The sequence below is a fragment of the Homo sapiens genome, chromosome 4 (assembly GCF_000001405.40).
Source record: "Homo sapiens chromosome 4, GRCh38.p14 Primary Assembly".
NCBI lineage: Eukaryota > Metazoa > Chordata > Mammalia > Primates > Hominidae > Homo > Homo sapiens.
This window is the reverse complement of record NC_000004.12, coordinates 27,750,515-27,766,062: the sequence shown is the minus strand read 5'-3', so window position 1 is coordinate 27,766,062 and position 15,548 is coordinate 27,750,515.

Below are 15,548 nucleotides of genomic sequence, written 5' to 3'. Positions count from 1 at the left end.
CTTTGAAACTCTTAATATTATAGAAGTATATTTTAGACAATATGAGTTTAAAAGGACCTTAGAAAAAAAAATCTGCAATTTTGTTTTTAAATAAATTATACCTAATGGAACCATTTATAGTTTTATTTGTATGAGCACTTTTAGCATTCTTTCTCTTAGGTCCTCCAGCCCTACTGACCCTCTTCCAGTTCTTCAGATGTCCTGCGTTTCCTCTTCCCCCAGGATTTTTCCACACGCTTTGCCCTTTGCCATTGAAGCTTCCTTCATTGCACACTGCCCAACCTCTCAGCTCTTTGCACATTCAATACTGCAATACTGTAGGTCTCAAGTCAAATATCACATAATGAAGGGAGTCTCTCTTGACTGCTTATCTACCTTCCTTCATAGCTCCTCGTGTTTTTCCTTGATAGCATTTGTGACAACTTATTACAAACATAAATGAGGATGTTATTGTCCCCCTCTCTAATTTTATTATAAACAATATAGGAACAGGGATGTGTGTCAGTTTCACGCCATCCTATAATGTTGCCTTTACCACATTGTAGTTTCTCAATTTCCTTGGTTGAACAAAAAAAAATATGAAAAAAAAATTCATCATTGACCCCTCACTGTGCCAGAGACTATGCTAAGCACTTTACATAGTTCAACATATTTTCAAGAAAATATTATGACTTTGATATTATTAACCATATTTTATAAAAGAAAAACGTGTCTCAAACTGATTAACCAAGTTCCCCAAGTTCACTGAAAACAATAAGTAGACAAGAACAGCTTGTTTGACCTGTGAAATTTCTGGGCCAATATATATGTGTTTACCATAAAATGAAAGAATTTTTTAGGTTCTCTTGCTCAGATTTTGGGTACCCAAGAAAGCTGTCCAAACTTTGACTGTATAAAAGAGGGCTCTGGCCAGTGTGTATGGACATGATGAAGGGACACTCACCATATTTATATTATGAGCACCAACTGGATGTCATAACACCACTTTTGCATGGAGTGGAACAGCAGAAACACAGAGAATAACTGGATGTGCAAGGGTTCTGTATTAGTTTTTTTAGTGCTATTGCTATGTAATAAATTACTATACATAAGCAGCTTAAAACACACTCATGTATTAGCTCACAGAATTGTAAGTCAAACGTCTGTCTGGAGGACTTGATTGAGTTCTGTTTTAAGACCTTACAAGGTCAAATCGAAGTATTCACTGGGTAGGTTTCCTATCTAAAGAATCTGAGAACGAATCTACTTCCAATCTCACTCCATTTGTTGGCAAAATCGAGTTCTTAAAGCTGAAGGTCTGTTCTGTCTTTTTTCTTGCTTGTTGTCGGCAGGGAGTTATTCTCAGCTTCTAGAAGTTATTTGCATATTTTCATATTTGGTTTCCTCTCCATCTTCAAACCAGCAAGAACACATTCAGTTCTTCTACTTTGACTCTTTCTGACTTTCCCTTTGGCCATCAGCCAAAGAAAACTCTCTTCTTTTAAAGGGCTCCCGTGATTAGTTGTACCCTGATACTTTCTGTTTTGATTAAACTCAAAGTCAACTAGCTAATAACCTTAAATACATCTGCCGTGTAAACTGACATAATCACATAGGATGGTATCTCACAGTGTGCAGAGTCCAGGGATTAAGGAAAATAATACTGGAGTACTACAGGTCTCTTACGCCAAAGCTTATATTGGGAAATCCTTGCTTTTGTTTTTCGAATCTTTGTCAGATACTAAGTTATAGTGGTAAGCCACTACAATCACAGCTTTTTTTTTTATATGTACACAAGCTCTTATTGCACTGTGGCCTCTTTGCATGAAGAAAATTGTGGATGCCAACTGTTTGAGCTCTTTCATGAAGACCTTTCCTCAAGCAGAAGGTAATACCAATAACGAGGCTTGAGAAATTAACTTGCCTTTTAGTACCACAGTGAGTTCTTATAAGAGTTTTAGGTTCTTTTCAGGGCTAAAAGTTAGTTTAGAGTGGTGAATGATAGAAGTTAGTGTAGAGTGGTGAATGTTGGGAAATGTTACATATTTGTCTTTCTATCTCCTGATACGCTTGCATGACCTTAAATAAGGCTTGTCAACTTATCTGGGTTTAGGTGAACTGTTTTGGAAATATTCTCTGTACTTGCTTATTGATATGTGATTGTGATCATAATTTCCTCAAAGCATGTTTTGGTGTATGCTCTATAAACTGAATATAAACTCTAAGTGAAAACACTATGATCAAATGAAAAAGCAAAAGATAGCCACAATTACTAATATTCCTACTTTACAGTTGCTTAAAAACTGAGTTGTAAAGAGTAAATCATTTGTCTGAAATTTCACAGCAGATAAGTTGTAAGTTTTGGCCTTAATGGGACAGTTTGACGTCTGAACATTTCACACCTAACCATATTTCTAGGTTGCTGCTAAAAGCAATAGAGTCAATTTGATAAAAGATAAAATAAAAATGTTAGTGTAAAACACATTCATTTTTCCAATGGCGATTCAAGATTCAGTAAAGATAAGGAAATAATTGCTTGTAATTCATTAGTAAAAACTGAAAGTAAAATTAAAACCTAAGATAGTTTTCACTCTTAGTATTAAGATCAATTATTAAATCTCTAAATGTCAAGCTCTGTAATGGAAAAATCTATCATCTCTCTCAGCTCCAAAAACGAAGCACAAAGGCCACCCTGATAAAAACAGAAGGAGTCTATGGGTGGTGAACACTTCTATTTCCTGAAGTTTATTTGTTGTGTGTGGAAGGAAAGTTATATACATCTCTCCCATTAAAGAAATTATTTAAAAAGCTGCACCAATTCAAAATTGGAAAGAATTCACATATTTGTCAGAGCTTGAGTGGTTCTAAGAGTAGTAAAAAGGAATTTTCCGTAGTAACACTTACAATTTTGTTATCCACATAGAATTTTAGAATGTGATGGAAACATTAAGATTGTGTGATTAAATGTGCATATTTTAACAATGAAGAAACTGAGAGCAAGGGAGGTTACCTAGGTAATTTTTAGCAAGATTCAGTGGCAGATCTCAGATCAGAAGCTATTAAACCTCTGGGACATTTTTTAATCACACTAAATTATTTTCTATCATTTTATAGAAATCACACTTTTTCTTTTCAAATTAACCACATAAAAATGTTTATCAGAGTCTAGTCTGAAGACTGTATAAATAAGAATTACCCCAGTCAGCTTATCAAAAAGGCAGAAATTGCATTTTCTTAGGCTTTAACCTGTGATGTACCGAATCGGAAATTCAGGATGTGTTATCATAATAAGTATTTTTATAATCTTTTAGGAGATAAAGTTTGAGAAATATTGCTTTTTGAAATCTAGATTATTTACTTATTTACTCATTGCAGTACATTACAGTTTTAGACTCTTGCTTATACCATAACAATAAGCGATTAAAATCTTCATATTCCCTTATGGCTTGTAGCTTTAATTGGCTATTCCTACTTCTGGTAGCCCAACTCTCTGTCCCAGCTCAGTGAGAGTCATATTCTTTGTCCGTTTATGGAATTGTCCTTTTCAGATTTGGTAATTGCTATAGATTGAATATTCATCTCCCCCAAAATTTATACGTTGAAATTTAATCCCCAATGTGACAGCATTTCAAAGTGGGGTCTTTGGGAAGTCCTGGAGGCTCTGCTTTTATGAATGGAATTAGTTCCCTTATAAGGGGCCCCAGAAATCTCCCTTGCTCCTTGTGCCATATGAGGACATGGGGAAAATGGCTGTCTATGAATCAAGAAGCAAGCCCTTATCAGACATCAAATCTGCTGGTGCCTTGATGTTGAACTTCCCAGCCTACACAGCTTTCAAAAATAAATTGCTGTTGTTATAAGCCACTCAATCTAATGTATTCTAGTTATAGCATTCCAAATTGACTGAGACAATAATAATAAGCACTAATTATTTACTTCTGGTTCTGCGAAAGGCACCATTGTGGACATGCAGAATATGCTTAATCCTCACAGCTCACCTGTAGAGAACATAGGGAGCAGATGTCTCTGAGTCTTTAATTTGAGCAAATTTTACCATAGACTGTTTGCTAGTAATTCACTATGGACCCTTTGCTAATAGTATTTAACACACCCAAACACAGCACATAAAATATTGACACTTAACGTTTGCTTACTGGCACTTCCACTTTAAGCTCCATATTGTAAAGAGCTTAGAAATTGTCCTTGCCATCTGCTATGTGCTGAATTGTATCTCTTCAAAATTCGTATGTTGAAGACGTAAGCTCCCAGTGCCTCAAAAAGTGATTGTGTTTGGAGCTAAGGTCTTTAAACAGGTAATAAAATAAAATAAAAATTTTAGGGTGGGCCCTTATTAAAATGACCGACACCCATATAAGGAGAGGAGAATAGGGCACAGACACACACAGAGGGAAGACTATGTAAAGAAACAATGAGAAGACAAAAAGACAGTCAACTACAGGCCAAAGAGAGAGGCTTCAGAAGATATTATCCTGCTGGCATCTTGATCTCAGACTTCCATCTTCCAAAACTGTGCAAAGCAAATTTTTGTTGTTCAATCTACTCAGCCATACTCTGTTATGGCAGTTCTAACAAACACCATCCCATTGTTACAACAAGAAAAAGTTGGACATACAAAAACAAAACAATGTGTTTCCTTGAACTTAATATACTGAGATTGTACAATGAACTACAATCTGAAATCTGGAGAGACAGAGAATTCCAGAGTCATAGCTAAGATCTGCTTATATGGAGCAGAAAGTGTTAGAGCCATAAACTATAGAAACAGTGAAATGACTTCTGACAAATTGCTGGAGGCTTAATGTGACCGAGTGACAAGAGAAACTCTTTTGGGTCAATTTCTGAGTCTCTTCTGCCCCTGCCTACACATACACCCTTTCCTGAGCTTTACCTCCAGCAACGCTGGGTCTTTAAGTGTGGGCTGTGCATATTGACTTCTTTCCAAAGAGTAGACTATGGAAAGCGGCAAAAAGAATAACTTCACAGTGGAGAAACCTACAAAACAATCTCAGCCAAATGGTTAATATCAACAATGATGGCATGTTGATAGTATGCAGCTTTGACATGATGAGGTAAGAATGGTACTTCATCTCTGTGACTTTCTCCCCAAAACTCATAACCTAGGTTTGATCATGAGACTAATTCAAGCAATTTCCAGTTGAGGGACATTCTAAAACAACAACAAAACAAAACAAAAACATCCTGATCAGCAATCCTCAAAACTGTCCAGGTAACCAAGAGAAAAGTCAAGTCTGTGTAAGTATCACAGCCAAGAGGAGCCTGGAGACACAATGACTAAATGCAATGTGATATCCCTGATGCTATTTTGGAACAGAAAATGGAAATTAGGGGAACATTAAGAAACTGTGAATTAAAGTAATAGTTTTCTTTCTCTTCCGTCCTTTCCCTATTCCCACTATTAACAGTTGTATATCTTTTCAGTATTTTCATAGAAGGACTCATATTTATGCCTTTTAAAAAATTTGAACTTATAAGATTGTAGTATACACATTGTTCTGCAACTTTCCTTAATTTATTCTACAAGTAAAAACAATTCTGTTCATTTTTTTCTATTTCACTAGTTATTAAATCGTTACAGGATAAAGAATATGTCTTCATTTTTGTAAAGTTCACTCTTGCAACGGTGTTTGACATTTGTTAAGAAGTCAGTAAATATTTGTTGAATGGGCAAATGGGTAATCTGTATTTCACAAGGCATAACTCATCCACTGATCTTTTAAAGGAGGGTTGTAAGAGACGCTAACTTATTTGGGAGCTGAAAAGATAAATTAGAAATTTTCAAAATAGGACGAGAACGTTCACGTCAATTTGTTACTTTTTGGCGTATTTGGAATATTCTTAGAGTTCAATATATGGAAACATAAAAATGAGATAACTGAGCCACAGAGCAAATGAGAGCACCGAGCCAGTTGGCTCATGTTTTCACTTTTGCATTATGTTCTGGGTAACATATTTTAAGCAACATACAGAAAACTGCATGCAGAGAAGGAAAATATTGGTTTAAAAAACAGTATTTGTGTATAAACCTTTATATTTTTGAAAAATCTAGGTGGAAAATAATTAGAACTTTCCAATTCTGTGAAAAATGAAAATGTAACATTCTCATAACATTTCTTCGACTTCCCAGTATACTCATATGTTTTTCTCCAACTTCCCGGTATGACTGTGTTCTGCCTGTTACGTAGAATATTCCCAGATGTGAAATTCAACACCTCTTCCATAAACATCAGCACCTACACTGCACAGAAACACATAGCAGGATTTGAAGAAGATCTCATGTAGCATAAGGAGGTAGGTTTATGTAAGATCTTTGCAAATACCTTGAAATGTGAACTGGAGTCATCAGGATTCTAAATGTGTATCTTGGCTTTTATGCAGTAGGTTGAGTGGGAAGGAGAGTGATCTTTCATAGGCCCTTATAACAAATTGTTTTAGCTCCTCTTCATTTTGCTGGCTCCCTCTTCCACCCAGTTAAAGCTTCATTATTTGAGTAAAACATGTTTCTCTCCTGTGTTCAGGGCAACCATAAACATTTCCCTTTCAACTGGCCCCCCATCAGCATAGCCCTTGAGGTCCTATCCCCTTAGCTAATAACCTATCGAGGTACTATAAATTTTTTCAAATAAAGAGTTTCCTAATTAAGTGGAACTGTGCTAGTTGCTAAAATAATTATAAAATAATAAAGCTGTCACTGCATTATTAAAGCAAAACATTGCTTTAAAAAAGTGACAGATACTGTTAGTTTTAGGGAAAAGTTCGAGGGGGAAATGGGGGCATGTAAATACAATAAAATAATGTAAAAATGCCCTCTTAGCATCTTGTTCCATTTGGTAGAAATAAAATCAGAAAGGGAAACTTACAAGATAAACCAATAAAAGGAAGAATGCTCTAGCAATAATTTTGAACTCAAAATGGAATGAACTGTCTTGACAGATACTAAACTCTCCAAAATGTTTACCCTTCAAGAAGCTGATGAGCTCTCAGGAGGTTATTACAAATTTCTACTTTGGGGAGAGAAAAGATTAGATGAGTAATAATGTCTTTTCCAACTATGAGAGGATATGATTCAAAGACACAGCATTTTTTCTTTAAAATCTGAAAGTCTTTCTTCTCATTAATCCAAGGTATTAAACACCAGTGCTGAATCCAAGAATGACCTAAAAAATAAAAACTATGGGACGTAAAATATGCAAAAACACTAAAGACAGTTTAACATAGTGCTCATTCATCTGAATCCCCTTACGTACTTTGGGAGTTTAGGGAGTCCATTCTTTTAACTTACATTAATTGACTCCATTGAACATCTAGAAATATGATATTAATAGCATTTGTGTATAGACAATAAAAAGAAAAAATCAGTTCACATATGAGCTGATATCAGAAGAAATTTAAGAGAATATGGAAGACAATAATGAAGAAATAGTAGTCCGTCTGAGAAGGGAAATAAGAGTAAAGTGAGTAGAATTCAGAAATAGGAACACGGAATGGAAGAGAGGTGGGGAAATGAAGGGGGGCTAGTACTGTGCGGGTTAAGACTCTCGTATCTTTCACAGTATTCTTGATTCTGTCCAAAAACCATTTTCCTTTGGGGTGGAGAGGGAAGGAATTACAATACCACTTTCCTGAAGTGTCTTGACACACTTTTAGCTTAATAAATAAATGGCCATAAATAAATTAGAGATCCCTCTAGAATGACAGTCTTAATTGACATTTCCCAACTGACATTGCATGGATTATGGCTCTAACAAGACTTTTTCTGCTCAAGACCCAACTCTAAAACCCTAGCTGTAAGATCCTGAATTTATCCTACCAGGCTTTCTTCACAAGTAGAAATTTGCCTCTCCATCTTAACTGGCTTTCTGATGACAGCTCTCTGCCTTTTCTGAGCATTCCTGGGTAGGCACAACACTGCATTTGATTAAGAAAAAAGGAAATGTCTTTCTGCCTTTCATGTAAATTGAAAGTTAAATTTCAACTACTTAAAAATTTGATGTCAAGAGATGTACATTCTAACATTTTGAGACATTTAATGGCAATCACAGATGTCAATTTTCTGTCCCAAATATTGCATTTAATATTTTTATTATCTCATTTTTAATCCATGATTTTTTTTAATATTTTGTAATTCACTGAAGAATGGTACCTCTAAAAAGTTCAAATATATATAGACAAGCCTAAATACATATTTATATGTATAGAAAGCCCAATGTTCATACTTTAACTTTCAAAACCTGCCAACAACTCATGAATGTGTGTGTTTTATTCAGCCAAGCTCATAGCTTTCTTGTTTTATGCCCAAGGCTTAGCAAGTAGAGTTTCAAAGCATCTAGCTTTAATGTATTTGACTGACATGAAATTTTTGCTTACTTTTAAAGATTTTTTTTTGCTAACTTTGCCTTTTCTCATATTTTTCTCTATTCATAATCACAAAGCTATATAAGTTCTTTGTGGATTAATACATATTGCCATTTTTTTAAACCCCAATACCAGGTGAGGTATTTTTCGAACAATAGAAAGAGAAAGACCTTGCAAAATATATGTAGACTTAACAATCATTTTTTTCTTCTTTTAATACATTTAAATGTAAAAAGATAATACATGCAAATGACGAGCTGACAGTAAAGAACTACTCATTTATCTATAAATAAGTTTAAGAAGAGCTTCTGTTTTCACTGTCTTGTGATTATTATTCAAGTCAACAAAAGCTTCCTATTTTAAAAAGACTAAGATTGTCTTTCACTTCTACTCTTTAAGAAAGTTAAAAGGAAAGGGGAATTAATTTTAAAATCTAGTATGCCCGCAGCATGGATTACGATCATGAAATGTGATTACGTTAATACATACCAGCTTTGTTGGAAATCACGTAATTCTGATGAAGAACACTAGACTTAGAATCAGGAGATCTGTGTTCTAATCCATGTTATAAAATTAATTAGCTGTGTGACCTTAAACAATTAATCTTACTTTCTGTGTCTCAGTGTCTCTGTCAGTAAAGCCACGTTCAATCACATGATTTCATGATTCTGTAATAATTAAAGCCAAATTATTTATCTCCAATACAGAGAGAGAGACACAGAGAGAGAGAGAGAGATCATTTAATTTTCTTATAGTCAACTAACATCCAGGACCTTAGTTCGGCATCAATGGAGATTTGCCTAAGAAAGACACTAATAATTTGAGATGTTGCTTTGGGTAATATAAAAAGGAATGCTTTTCTTTGGATAGCCAATTATCTGTCCTGGATTCTCTGAGACAGGATTATCTGATTCACCTCTAGGATGAAGGGAGAAAAATATATGTATATCTGAACCCTTAGCTATCCATTACATTCAAGAAGGTTAACAGACAGTCCAGGTATGAATATTAACTATTCTAGTAATTGTATATGAAGGTGCCTGGCTGTACCAGAAATGTTTATAGCTAAATATGTTTCTCCTGCCATTCCTCCTCCCATTAAAACGGTATTCTCAAGGATGCCTTTATCTCCTTTTTGGACGTTAGATATTATAAGTAACAGTTGTATATAGGATTTATTATGTTGAAGGGTTTATCTTTGAATAATTTTACAAGATTTAGGAGAGGTGCCAAGGTGTAATAGCTGAGGTCAGTCTCAGGAGCTAGACTACCTGAGTTGTAACCTGGATTTGCTCCTGACTGACTGTGAGGAATGCTGGATACTGTATGCAAATTCTCTTTGCCTCACGTTCCCTATCTGTAAAATGGAAATAACACTAGTACCATAGTAATATGGACATATAGCATCAGGATGTAATATTAAAGACAGTAAGTGATATATATGTGGTGCGTATTATCATTCTCATCACCATTATTAAGCAACCAGCATAACGCCTGGCAAAGTGTGAGTTCCTGATAAATAGTATTACCAGCACATGTGCAGGTCATTTCCATATAATATAGAACACTGGAAACTGGTATGGGAGCTAGGGCAGGGACAGTTTAGCAATGGGATTTGACCTAGGGTTCTGTCTTCTACTATAGGATTCTTTTTGGAGATATGGATTGCTTCTAATACATTTTTATGTTTAGGAATCCTAATGGCAAGAGCATTTATTTATGATTGTCTTTTACTTTTTTCATAGTAAAATGGATATCAGCACATTATCTTGGGGTTACTAAACAGAACACTGTCCCCAAGGAAGATAAGACTGAGCACTGTGGGCTGTGTGGCCTTCATTTTCATGTGCGGGTAGATTACTCTTACAGAAGGACATGAGCTTCCTAGAGGCAGAGAGTAAACTTTTTCAAGAGAATTGGAGAATGACTCTGTTATCTGAGAAGAAGTGTTACAGGAAGGTTGTTTTTATTTTGAAGATCAAAATGGAATTCCAATCCAAGCCTAAAGATGTAAATTCACTCTTTTCTCAGGGATGATGTGATTCTGAGCCTGTGAGGTGGTAGATATCTAACCATCAGTATATACTCTGTATATTTCCTTCTCCATGAAGGTGGGCTGAACCTGTGAAAATGATGAGATCAACTCTCATGATTAGGTCATGTTATGTGACACAGTTAACTTTAAAAAAGGAAAATTATCCATAGTGAAACTGACATAACCAGACCACTCATTAAAAGGGACTCCTCATTTCCCTTTTAATGGGGACAGAGATTTCACCTGAGGGAGATTCTCCATTACGGGCCTAGGAGATGGGGTCAGGGAAGACGTGGCAAGGGCGAGAAAGTGGCCTCTAGGATTTGAGAGTCACCTCTGGACAACATCCAACAAAAAATGGGGACCTCAGTATTACAACCACTAAATTCTGTCACCAACCCTATAAGCTTAGGAGAGGACTTTGAGTTCCAGAGAACGAAGACTAAATGGCATCTTACTTTCAGCCTTGTGAGACCCTGAACTCTCAGCTATGCAATGCCCAGACTTCTGCCATACAGATCTGTGAGAGGATACATGAATATTATTTTAAGCCATTAAGTTTTTAAATAATTTGTTACACAGCAACAGAAAACTAGTACATGTACTGAAAAGCTGTCAAGTTCCCAGTGCTCGATTCAAGTCTTCCAAAGTTGAAGTTTTTACCTAAAAGCTCAAATTGAATCAACAAATAAAGCCAATCAAGAGGCTCACATCAGCCACTTGGAGAAAATGTGTACCAGAAAAAACAAAGCTTCAGTAATCACCATTTTTCAAGCATTTTTTTTCAGTAAGTAAAATATACCCGCTTTTTACCCATCATTGCTTTTGCACCATCAGCACAAATGTCAACATAGTAAAAAAAAAAAAAAAAAAGCAAATACTGTTTTCCTATTATTAGAAAAAATATTTTAGTGTTCAAACTACCTGAAATTATCTCAGGGACCCTAATGGGTTCCTGAACTACACTTAAGAACTGTTGATTGAAGACAAAGATGTGCTTGTGGAAACCAAGAGCAACAGCAGATTGATCAGATTGCAAATACTCTTTTTTATCTTGGAGGTCAAATTATTTCCCTAGGCTTTTGTACTGATACAGAAAACCAAGGCCAAAACCCCCACTGGCGGGGCTGTGAAGTCCAAAGATAATGAAACTTCAGATAGAGTCAGAATCACAGCAGGTCATTTGCCTCATGGTGCTAGCAGCTAGCAGTGCCATAGGATCTGGTCATGTTGCGGTCCAGCATAGCCAGAAAGAGACATTTTCACTAGGATTTTAAGAAACTAGACAGATTCATACCTACTTCCTAATCAGCAGGCACACCGTGCCAATATGATGGCTTGCACTTTTTATGGAAAACGTGATGATTCCACTTTTTCCCTAAAACGTTTTTTATTGCATTTAGTCTTTGTAAACCTTTAACAAGTTTCATGATCCACAGAATCTATTCATAAATATTGATTAGCTGATTTTTTCCAGACATCATTGTGCCACATATAAATCCAAAAAATGGGGCCGGGCGCGGTGGCTCACGCCTGTAATCCCAGCACTTTGGGAGGCCGAGGCGGGCGGATCACGAGGTCAGGAGATCGAGACCATCCCGGCTAAAACGGTGAAACCCTGTCTCTACTAAAAATACAAAAAATTAGCCGGGCGTAGTGGCGGGTGCCTGTAGTCCCAGCTACTTGGGAGGCTGAGGCAGGAGAATGGCGTGAACCCGGGAGGCGGAGCTTGCAGTGAGCCGAGATCCCGCCACTGCACTCCAGCCTGGGCGACAGAGCGAGACTCCGTCTGAAAAAAAAAAAAAAAAAAAAAATCCAAAAAATGATACCATAAGTTATGTAAATATTATAGGTAGATATCAAATAGGGGACATAAGATATTTTATAACTTTACCAGCTCTTATTATTCACACAGAAATCTGTCTGGGTCTACATTCAGGACATATATTCATTTAGAAGAAGTATAATGACTCTAATTTTAAAAGTATATTTATTATGCAAATTAATAGCATTCCAAATTGTCCTGACTTGAAGAGTTTCTTAGCAATGAATGTAAAAGACTTAGAGTATTTTTTTCTTTTTTTCCTCTTATTTCATTTTTATTGCTATTGTAACACTAGTATTAGGTTTCTATATTTAAAACACTGATACAGATTGACAAAATACTTACAAAAAAAAAAGGAGCTCTACAATAGATAAAGTAGGGATTGTTAAATTCCTGGAAAAAGGAAGATGTAGTAATTGAGGACTATTAGAAACTGTAAAAACAAGACATGGAACCACATCATATTTGTCTCTTTGAACCAGAATAAACTTGATCACTTAACTAGTAGGTATATCATAAATACTTATTGAACTTTAATTAAAAGTGATACAGAAAGCAGAACAATTCAGACTTGTCTAGCCAATTACCTCTTCAAAATGATCTGATTTCCTGTAGACCTCTACTCTCCTCTTGTTCTCTTTACCATTTTTTCCTAATCATCTCACATCTAAAAAAAAATCATGTTCATTCTCTATACTCCAGGAACTAAGTGCTTCACCTGATCTTTGACACCCCAGGAATTCTACTGAACAACTTTTCAGGCCCAATTTTACTTTTACTTTATTTTCCTTATCATCGTTTGTCTAATTGAGATGAAATTTACTTAACGTAACATATTGGCTTATTCCATTTTGTGTTGCTATAACGGAATACCTGAGACGGGGTGATTTATAAAGAAAAGAGGTGGATTTGGCTCACAGTTCTGCAAGCTGCACAAGACACATGGTGCTGGCATCTGCTTAACTTCTGGTGAGGCCTCAGGAAGCTTGTATTCATGGCAGAAGGCAAGGGGAGTTGGTGAGAGAGAGAGCAAGAGAGAGCAGGGAAGGAATGTCCTAGGCTCTTTTGTTTAACAACCAGCTCTCGTATGAAGTAATAGGGTGAGAACTCACTCATTACAGTGGGGAGGACACCCAACCATTAATAAGGAATCCATCCCCGTAATCCAAATACCTCCCACTAGTCTCCACCTCCAACATTGGGAACCAAAATTCACAGGAGATTTGGAGGGGATGAATATCCACGTAATATCACATATATAACAAATTGGCCATTTTAAATTGGAAATTTTAGTAATATTTAGTGTATTTACAATGTCATAAGCCACCATCTCTATCTAGGTATAAAATATTTTTACCATTCCATTTTTAACAGTGTTATTGAGATGTTATTGATATACAAAAAACTGCATACTTAAGGTATACAATTTGACAAATTTGGATATATACATACAGCCATGATGCTATTGCTGCAGTCAAGGTAATAAACATATCAATCACCTTGAAAAGTTTCTTTGTGTCCCCCTTTTGCATGGAAAGTGCATTTAACATGAAATCTACACAAATTTTTAGATGCACAATACCATTTTGTTAACCATTGGTACTGTTGTATAGCACGTGTCCAGAACTTACTCATTGTCCATCACTTTTAATGTGTAAATCTCTAACCATTGCATCTTTCCTGCTTCTTGCCTTTCCTTTATTTCAAATTATCACAGCCTCCTTACACATCTGAAATTATTTCCAAACAAACTTATTCGTTTCGTATATCATCTCAGATTAGGCCAAACTGACGTCTATTAAATTCTTTGGGCTAATGCTAACTAAATTTTGTTTGCAATATTTAACCCACTATTTAGAGTTAATATTTGCTTCTAATGAACCCAAAGACACAGATGCTGAAGGGACCATAACCTAGTTGAATAGTGCAAAGTTTACTTGACTTGAAATTCTAACATCAGCACTCAAATGCAATCTCTGCTGCATAAGATATATGAACTTGGGTTCATAAGATGACCCCACAAAATTGTTTCTTATTTATACCAGGGAGATAATATTATTTCCTTCACAATGAAGCATTTTTAAGGATCAGACTAAATCACATGTGAAAATGCTTGGCAATTTGAAAGCATCCAACGCCTGTGAGTTCAATCTGAGTCTTTCCTTCTTTATCTTATCCTTTCTAGGTTTCCTTCTTCTCTTGACTCAAATGCTCTCTTCCTGTGGACCTCTACTCCTCTCTTGAAAATAGTATCCACCGTAATGACTTTGATACTGTATTAGTCTGTTCTCACACTGCTCTGCTATGAAGAAACCCCGAGACTGGGTAATCTATAAAGAAAAGAGGTTTAATTGACTCACAGTTCTGCATGGTTGGGGAGGCCTCAGAAAACTTAGAATCACGGCAGAAAACACCCCTTCACAGGGTGGCAGGAGAGAGAATGAGAGTCGAGCAAAGGGGGAAGCTTCTTGTAAAACCATCAGATCTCACGAGAACTCACTCACTAGCATGAGAACACCATGGGCAAAACCGCCCTGGTGATTCAATTACCTCCCAAGAGAAGAAGCAGAGACCACTTAGCTGGCTAATGAGTCATGGTAATGGTCTACTTCAGTGTGGTTGTGATGGGGGCAGTGAGAAATAGTCATATATATCATATCATACCCAACAAGATAATATATACGATATAATAAAAGTGGCAGATTATCTTGTTCGGTATGATATGATATACCCTGATTATCATAAATAGAATATATAAAATGATATATGTCATATCATATATTATAATAATATATATGTCATATGTGATACAGGTGGCAGATTATCTTGTTAGGTATGATATAATATAAATGACTATATATCGTAGCCCCCATCACAACCACACTGAAGTAGGGCATTACCATGACTCATTAGCCAGCTAAGTGGTCTCTGCTTCTTCTCTTGGTTGTTAACAAACTGCGTTCTGTAAAGCTACCTGAGTGATTCCCCTCGCATAGTAATAACACTACCCCTTTTTGTAGATTATTTCACCCCTTCCTATGCCAGTAAGAATAAATTCCAAAATTCTTATAACAGCTTACATGCTTTTACTCTACCAGATCAGGCATGCTTCTGAACCCAAAGCATTCTTTGTTTTTGCCACTGCCTTTACACTCTTCCTTGCAATATATTAATGTTTTGCTCCCATACCTCCATTAGGAAGTTATTAAATTCTGCCTTCTCAGTTAATCCTTCAATGATGACCATATTTAAAATTGGCCCCTCATAACACACACACACACCCATCCTCGTTTTCTGCTTCATTTTTCACAATTG